Source organism: Homo sapiens, chromosome 1 (genome assembly GCF_000001405.40).
Source record: "Homo sapiens chromosome 1, GRCh38.p14 Primary Assembly".
Lineage (NCBI taxonomy): Eukaryota > Metazoa > Chordata > Mammalia > Primates > Hominidae > Homo > Homo sapiens.
Genome location: NC_000001.11, coordinates 104,072,798 through 104,082,441, shown reverse-complemented (window position 1 = coordinate 104,082,441; position 9,644 = coordinate 104,072,798). Strand labels below are relative to the sequence as shown.

The window sequence follows — 9,644 nt, the reverse complement described above, 5'->3', positions numbered from 1 at the left end:
GGAAACAGGCTGTGTACATCCCCGAGTCAGTCTGTTACTGGGCTGTGGTTACTATACAAACTCCTCAAAGAGACAGTTTCATTTCAGGTGAGGGTAATGCTCTGGCAGAGGGGGGATTATGAGCCAACAGACAGGGAAAGGTGCACTGATCCTGTGGAAGGGAGTTTGGGAGCCCACAGACAGCACCCATTATGCCGTATTTCTGAGACAGCATTTAAAGCAGTGCTTCAAAAACATAAAGTCCATGTACAGATTATCTTGCCTACTTGCTACTTACTGTGTTTCACTTGCCAGCTATTCCTTTCCCCTCCCATGATATGTTTTCACTACATTTCACTGTGTCCTTCAATGCTTTCAACTCAATGATAAGCTCCTATAGTGCAATGGATTATCTTATATCAGATACATTTAACAAATTAAAATATCTTCCTGGGAAAAATCTGCTGCTTCAAGTATGAATGTTGACAACCCTCAAAACTTTCCTTATTGGTCTGTCTGAGTCATGGCTAAGGTCAGCAGTTCTGCTCTCAGCCTAAGATGAAACCCTCCCTGTGTTGTGCTCTGCAGACATGTGAAGAGTTCTCAGTCATTCTTTTATATGTGAGTAGGCCTTCCGAAGAAATAATAAAACAACAAAGTAGCAAAGGATCATCTGCTAGATTATCAGCATTAACAATCCTTCATTCATAAATGCAAATTTCCATTCATATTTTTAGAAAAACAAGAGCAGGACATTCATAGTTTAAGGTAAACAACAAAATGGAGGCGCTCTTTAGACAATTATATTTCAATAGTGATCTTAGATCTCCATCTTTTGAGCATGCAATAGCAACAAACAACCTGCTATGAGGGTTAAAACACCTGCTTTTTTAGTTTACCATCATCATCGTACCTTTAAGACTGGCACCCATCCCCACAAACCCAAAACTGGACATACAGAGAAGAGTTTAGAGGTTGGAGAAAGAGCATAAACTAACTTGTTAAACCTGGAAGTTGACCTCAGTATTATACTTGGAGACAGTACATTGTGTACCCGCAAAATTTGTTATATATATGTGCTATGATTGAAGACAAACTAGCCATTTATTATGTTAGTAAATCTGAGAGATAATATAAAATACCGTGTGCATTTGATCTGTGAAATTCTAGGTAACAAAATGTATTAGCTCAATTGTGCACAGGTTAATGCAAAGAAATCCTATAATATTTCAGAAGATAACAGTCTGAAACTACCTCACAATTGCTTTCAATGACATATTAGAAATGCAATTCTCTGTTCTTAAAATACGTGATCAGACTATTAACACCAGTGCATAAAGAAAATTCTTTACTAAGAAGTCACACAGAAATCAGCAGTAAAGTGTTGTACGTTATGTGATTATATTTTTGTTTGTTTAATATTTAATAGGCTCCTGGTAAAGGTGGTGAAAATGCTTCTACAGTCTTCACACTTAAAATTAGGGGATAATGTATTTCAAATTAGGCTTCATATTATTGACCCCTATAGAAACATTACATTCAAAGGAAACCTTAGCTTTTTTTAACTTACATTTTTATTATTGTGGGTTCCACTTATCAGTCATTTCCTTCCCCTACCACCAATAAGCTTTTACTGTATTTTACTCTGTGTCCTCAATATATTCAATTCAATTATAAGCCCCTGTAGTATAATAGGTACTGCTTGCATTTCTTCATTCTAAAATTCCTGTCTCTTTCTATTACATCTTGCAAAATCTTTTTGGTTCTTCAAAATTCAGCTCAAATGTCACCTTTTTTTTGTGAAACTTTCTGTGTTCCTAACAACTCATTCTCAAGTGGGATTGATCAGATTTTCTTCATTGTGTTGATTCTACTTGCATTATATTTACTACTGTATCTATCACATCATCATGCAAATATGATTTACTAACTTGGAATCTATATGAGATTATGATCCCTATGAAAATGTGGATCCTTTCTTATTCTTTTCTGTTTTATCAGCATCTTGCACAGTGTCAAGAACTTATTAGTGATCCACAATTATTTTTAAATGGTGAATGTACAATTAGGCTTTGTCAGAAATTGACAGAGGAGAATCTAACATGTTTCTTACTGCTTAAAAGGCAAAGTATCAATCCTATGGGAGTACATTAGTGCCATATTATGCCTTCTTTTTTTGCTATCTCAGTTTGAAAAGTCCTAAATTTCCTTTAGCATCTTCGCAGATTGCTTGTTTTAACAAAATACAAGTACAGAACAACTGAAAAATCACCATGACTCCTGATTAATACTGAGAGAAATAGAGGGAATGAGAAATATATTGTCTTCTATATAATTTAAACAGTTTCAGTAAGCCCCTAGTTAAACCTCAGAATGATTCTTCTTCTTGAAGTAGATTTGCCTGTCAACTCTATCCTTCCTCAGTTTTTAACCAAAACAATTATCAGGAAAATAATGTTGAGTCAATTAGAAAATTCCAAATGTAAACTTTTGTCTCATATTTACAAATCCTTGAATAATTGTCAACATTTGTGTTTCAAAATGTCACTGATTTTGAGCTTCACAGAGCTTACATTTGACTTTTTCATTAGCCTGAAAGTTTGCAGTATCTGAACATGATCATACAAAGCTTTTGTACAGATTTGTCTTTATGAGGTATTATTGGTAGAGTAAGTCAGTTTTTAGCTACTAGAGAAGCTTTTTAGCAACTAAGGAAAAAAAGCAAGACTTTCTCTAGGGTTGATCTTTCCAACAGTGTTGTCAATTGTAACTGGTAAGTTTTTAGTTGCTCTGCAATTGACAACACACTTAATTATTCAAATGAGAAATGTCTCTTCCCAAGTCTGTAATATAAAAATTAGATGCCCTGCCATTTTTGATTTCTATTTTAAAGGTACAACTTATCATCAAACTCATGTTCACTGTAAATGTTTTCTTGGCAATTTACTTCCCATAAATGTCTATTATACAGACTAATTCATCTGAGAATAGTGTTTGTTTATCCTCATGTACTTATGAATTTGTAAAGACAGCAGTGACAATAAAGGTAAAGAAATTATGACTAGAAAACCTCCAGATGGTGAGATTTGTTTTGTTGTAATTCCATATTCCAAGGTCTGAGCTGGATCCAATCCAAATTTCAGAAAGAGAAATATATTATACAATTTTTTTAACTGTGAGAACTTAACTGGCTTAGAAATAACCAAACCATCCAAAGATTCATAGGCAAATATTGCTTTTATGTGTGAAACAGGTGAAAAAGTGTGAGCTGGGAAACAAGTCAATATGAGAAAGAATTGTATAGATTTCATTTGTTCTTTTTGGTAGGGTTCCTTAAAAGACATGGAAAGAAATTTTAGAAATAGAAGAGTTGGAATATACATTTATTGACACACCTGTAAGAAAACAGATAAACATACAAATAGTAGATATCCATACCACATTTACAAATTTGAAATTTCTTAAAATTGCCAGATTATCTTAAGATGCTCATCCTTTATCATTATATCAAAGTGGTGTAAATTATGGTCAAAATAATTTATATTTCAAGAAAATTCATTTATTCATGCATGCATCAATTCATCCAGCATATATTTATTGAGTGCCTATTTTGTGCATCTCACTGTGATAGGGAGCTAATATTCTAGAATCTCTTTTCTCCGTGATAAAAAGCCTACCTTTTATTACTATTTTTATTTTTTGCATTTTTACCTGATGGCAACATATGGCTCATGACAAATAGGAACAAGTAAAACACTGTATTTATCAAGTATCATCAATCAGCCTTATTTGCTTAATATTAATTCAGAAATCAATTTTGTTTGAAATTTGTTTATCAAAAAAAGTCCTGAACATTTTCATTTATTTAGAAATTTCAGTAATATACTCAGTTATCAAAATAATATCAACCATTTTGCTAGTTTAGAACTCAGGTTATTTAAGCCTAAATAAAATGGAGTGACCCATATGGCAAATGAAACATATTTCAAATTTTATTTTTTATGTTTTTAAACCTCTCTCTTGAATCTTTAATTTATACATGTACTTATTTACATATAAATTTTACATTATATACATATTTATGTTTTCTATTTTATTAATGACAGCTCAGAAGCTAAAAGCACATTTAACAAGTAAAAATGGAAATTAGTTTAGAACTTGTTATTTGTTGTCAAAGTCAAAATTAGACTAGAACTTTTAGAAAATTCTTTTAAAATTCTATAACAGATATGTTCCATTTTGATAGTCTATGAATTGTACATTACTTAAAATGATTACAAAATATCACATGATGATATAAATACCATTTATGGGGGGAAATGTTCCTTTAATCAAGTAATTTAAGACAATATAATTTAAGCATTCTCCATTTTACGTCTTCTAGATGACTGCCTGTAAGTAATATTATATATGGTGTAATAGTTAATTTTTTTTTTCTTTTTTTTTGAGACAGAGTCTCACTGTGTCACCAGGCTGGAGTGCAGTGGTGTGATCTCGGCTCACTACAACCTCCGACTCAGTGGTTCAAGCTGGTTCTCCTGCCTCAGCCTCCTGAGTAGCTGGGATTACAGGCACGTGCCACCACGTCCAGCTAATTTTTGTATTTTTAGTAGAGACGAGATTTCACAGTGTTGGCCAGGATGGTCTCCATCTGCTGACCTCGTGATCCCCCTGCCTTGGCCTCGAAAAGTGCTGGGATTACAGGCGTGAGCCATCACGCCTGGCCATAATAGTTAATTTTATGTGTCAACTTGACTAGGTTAAGGGACACTCAGATACCTTGTAACATGTTATTTCTGGGTGTTTCTAGGAGAGTGTTTCCGGAAGAGATGATCTTTTAAATCATAGACTGAGTAAAGAAGATTCACACTTACAAATATGAGCAAGCATCATCCAGCCCACTGGGGGCCTTGACAGAAGAACAAAGAAGAGAAAGCATGAGTTTTATCTTCTTTCTTGTGCTAAGACATCCATCTTCTCCAGCCCTTGGTCAATGGAACTCTTTATATAGATATATGTATATATATAATTGATTTTTTTTTTTTTTGAGACAGAGTCTTGCTCTGTCGCCCAGGCTGGAGTGCAGTGGTGTGATCTTGGCTCGCTGCAAGCTCTGCCTCCCGGGTTCACGCCACTCTCCCGCCTTAGCCTCCCAAGTAGGTGGGATTACAGGTGCCCGCTGCCATGCCCGGCTAATTTTTTGTATTTTTAAAAGAGACGAGGTTTCACAGAAAAGTCTTGATTAATACATATGGTTAATCCTACTTATCATAGTTTTTATAAAAGACTGAGTAAAGAAAACAAATGGCCGTGTGTGTGTGTGTATACATATATATATATATATATATATATATATATATATATATATATATATTTTTTTTTTTTTTTTTTTTCCTTTGGTTCTTTGTTTTTGAGACACAGTCTTGCTCTGTTGCCAGGCTGAAGTGATGCAATCTTGACTCACTGTAACCTCCGCCCACTGGTCTCAAGTGATCCTCTCCTGCCTCAGCATCCTGAGTACCTGGGACTAGGCACATGCCACCACGCCCAGCTAATTTTTGTACTTTTAGTAGAGATGGAGTTTCACCATGTTGGCCAGGATGGTCTTGATCTCTTGACCTTGTGATCTGCCCTCCTCGGCCTCCCAAAGTGCTGGGATCACAGGCCTGAGCCAACGTGCCCAGCCTATTGTTATTACATATTTTATGCTATTACAATCTGAACATTAAAGCAAGACAAAATAATATTTAAAAGTGTATTACGTGGAAAATAATACAAATAAAGCATATACAGTTGATTCTTGTTATGCTTGGTAATTATGGTCTAACAAGTCACTACGTTAGTCAAGTTATGGTCTACTATAATGTCCCCATGAGCACTGAAGTAGAAAATGCTGAATCATTAGCCTTAGGGAAAATACATGGTTAGGTTTCTTCAAGCCTTGTTTGTAAAATTTTCATCAAATGATCAATAAACTTGATTTTATGTGTATTTCTGTTTAATGAAACATTATTTAATATATATTGTTGATTCATTAACATTGAACTCATGGCCAAGAGTACTATAACTTATCCCTGAGCAAAGCCCCTTTGTTTTGGCCAATTTACCCCATTTGGAATGAGAATATTTACTCAATGCCTGTACCCCCATTGATTCTTGGAAGTAAATAACTTGTTTTTGATTTTACAGGCCCATAGGCGTAAGGGACCTGCCTTGTCTCAGATGAGACTTTGGACTTGGACTTTTGGGTTAAGGCTGGAATGAGTTAAGACTTTGGTGGACTGTTGGGAAGGCATGCTTGGTTTTGAAATGTGAAAATGGCATGAACTTTGGGAGAGGCCAGAGGTAGAATGATATGGTTTGGCTCTGCATCCCCACCCAAATCTCATCTTGAACTGTAATTCCCACATATTGACGGAGGGACCTGGTGGAAAGTGTTTGGATCATGGGGATGGTTTCCTCCATCCTGTTCTTGTGATCCTGAGGAAGTTCTCACAAGATCTGATGATTTTATAAGTTGTGGTTTTCCCTGCTCTCCAGTCTTTCCTGGTGCTTTATGAAGAAGGATGCATTTGCTTCTCCTTCGCCTTCCATCGTGATTGTAAGTTTCTTGAGGCCTCCCTATCCATGCAAAACTGTGAGTCAATTAAACCTCTTTCCTTTATAAATTACCCAGTGTTGGGTATTTCTTTATGGGAGTGTGAAAATGGACTAATACCCCTGGCCTCTCCCCTTTAAATGCCAAGTGGCACGCTTCTCCAAGTTGCAACAACCTAAAATGTCTCCAGACACTGTTGAAGATTCCCTGGTGGACAAAATGATCCCCTACTGAGAAAATCGATCTGTGGTGTTGGTTGTGTTTTTAAACTTTACATCATTTGGAGTTAAATTTCATACTTTGGTTATTAAGGAACACTGACATGTATCTCCCCCAAATACTAACAAGAAGTTGACTTTTCTTTGCCTGCTGATATTAAAGTTCCTCCATATACTGCAGAATTTTTCAAATTTATATCCTAAGATTTTATATTTATCAGATAATGAACCTAATTTATAAATATTATACCCAGCATTGTCATCTCTAGAGTCATGTTATCTATCCTCTCCCCTAACAAAATGAATCACTCTTACTGACCATTATTTGTATTGAAGTGATGATACAAAATACATTTTTTGAAATAAATACTAGTATGTTTTCTCTACACCTGAAATTAAAGATAAAACATGCAGATTAAAATATAATAAAATATTTACTCTCATCCAAATTAACTTTTCTATGAAGTACTGAAATTAAAGTCTGTAGGCCTGGAAACTTTCTGTTGCGTTAGAGTGGGAATGTTTACTGCAATTGTTTGTTAGTGTACTTATTTAACAAATGTTTAATGAGCACCTACTATGTGTAATTCCTTGTTTCTGAGGAAACAAAGAAGGACCCACTAGCCAAATCTCTCAGTTTATGTCCTTGCCAAGGGAGCAAATAATAAGCAACTAAACAAATATAGAAAAATATGATAATAGGACAATAAATTGTTTATAGAAAACAAAGCAGAGCAAAGGCTAGAGAATTTTTCATGGGATGATCCACAGAGGACAGTTGAATAGAACTCTGAATACAGTAAGAAAATGAGCTTTATGGGGAATGAACATTCCTGGCAAAGAAGAAATAAAGTGCAAAATCTGAAATCAGAACAATCTTAGCTTATCAAAAGTTAAGTCAGAAATAGGTGTGGCAAATGAAGTGAATAACCTAGAACCATATGAGAGACAAGGTTGGAAGGGCAGGCATGTGTTGGGTCATGCAGAGCTTCCTTGGTGTGGAAAAATTTGCCTTTTGCTGTGAGTAGATAAGAAGGCTCAGGAGATCTGAGTGGAGGAGTGGTGTAATCTGATGTACAATTATGAATGATCAGTCTGGCTGCTGAGTGGAAAAGTGTCAGTAGGTGGAAAGGAGTTGAAACTGTGTCATTAAGAAGACATTACCTGGTTTAGGAAAGATGACGGTCATTTGGAAAAGGGCAGAATCAATCATGGTAATGAGAAAACACAGTTTCGGGAAATATTTTGAAGATGAAACAAACGACTTGCTGAGAAATTGAATATACAGTATAACTGAACATTTTCAAAAATGGTTTATAGGATTTAAGTTTAAATAACAATGGAAAACCTAATGTCATTTTCCAAGATGGGCAAGGCAAGAAGGAACAGATGTGGGTGGGTGTGCAAGAGGTAAATAAAATTTCTTTTTAGACATGTTAAGTTTGAAATAAAGTTTAAATGTTAAAACTAGTAACATTTTATCTAAAGAGTTAATTTTTTTTCTGTTTTTCTGGTAACCTTTAGTTACTGAGCTTAATGTAGATTTTTGTGGGTTTTTAAAATTTGTGTTTCACTTTTGATAGGAGGGTGTTGTATCCGCATTTCTATATATCCCCAATGTATTTTTTTTTTAAATAGAAAGGCACTTTATTACACTGCCCACTCACACCAGGCCAGGACAGGAGTCACTCTTTAGAACTCTGAGGGGCCGTCCAGGCTGATGGAGGAGGGGACCCACTCACCTGCCACAGAGCCGGCCCCCTCACATGGCTTCCTCCCTGAGGAGCATCTCCCATACTGGGGCTTCCAACGACCTTCGCTCTGCGCGTGCTGAAAGGACAGAGTTCAGAATCAGCCTCAGCCTGGACTTCTGTTACTATGGGAGGATAAGCTTGTCATGCTCAGTCCTAGTACCATGCCTCTAAACGTCCTTCAGACGGCGTCGGGGCTCTCGCCAGGGAGCTTGGTTACTGTTTCAATCCCCCGCCCGGCAGGCCTCACGGCCAACTTTCTCAATGTCCACAGCAGACAAAAATGTCCACAGCCAGAGCTCCAAAGCCCTGCCGGCCCTGGTGCCACTGCCGCCTCTGCGTCCGGAGCCTGTGGGGCTCAGCTCTGCTGCTCTGGCCCAAGTCTGGCCTGGAGTCCCCGGTGCCCTTTGCAGGCACGGAGGCAGCTGGACATCCTTCGCTTCACCAGCCTCTGGGCCTGCAAGCGCTTCTGGAGCGTTTCATTTTCCTTCAGAGTGAGGAAGAGTTTTTTTCTTCAGGGAATCTAAGTCCAAAAGGGCATAGCTGTGATCAGATGGCTGCTTGTCGGGGGGCCTTCTCAAGCCTGCAGGGCCGGCCGGCCGGCCAACAGTCTCTGCTGCTTGCGGACTCCGTGGCGAGATCTGTTTTACGGGGCCTTTGGCATTTGGGGGCAACTGAAGCTCTTCAAGCGCAGTGTCCATGTTTCTCCCAGGGCTGTCCTCTCCGGCCCCCGCCTCAGGGAGGACCTTTTCTTTCTGAGAAGAGCTGGCATTTCCTCTCTCACTGGCAGTGTGTGTGTTCTCCCTCACCTGCGGTGGAAGGTGAGCTGCTTCCTGCGGCTGCTGTAGCGGTTGCAGCACTGCCAGGCCGCGCACGACTTCGGCATCTCCGGCCAGGCCTGGCTGCCCGTAACAAAGATGGCGGCAGCGGGGCCGGATGTATTTATTTTGTTATCTTCTAAGCCACAGAAAATAGTTTTTTGATATAAATATATAGGTTTATCACAGATAGTGTTTTTTTTTTCTTTAAATACAGCATTATCTTTCTAAGGCTAGGTAGCTAAAAAATAAAGCCTGTAAAAAAAGTAAGACATGAGTA

General features: G+C 37.4%; 1 pseudogene across 1 annotated transcript; it reads right to left on the bottom strand.

Moving 5' to 3' along the window:
- Window positions 1-5,355: 5,355 nt before the first annotated feature.
- THAP3P1 (THAP3 pseudogene 1) lies at window positions 5,356-9,419 on the bottom strand (annotated as a pseudogene). The gene is made up of 2 exons (NR_033990.1): window positions 8,538-9,419; window positions 5,356-5,697 (listed from the first exon to the last, which is right to left on the bottom strand). The product of NR_033990.1 is annotated as a THAP3 pseudogene 1 (transcript).
- Window positions 9,420-9,644: the final 225 nt, after the last annotated feature.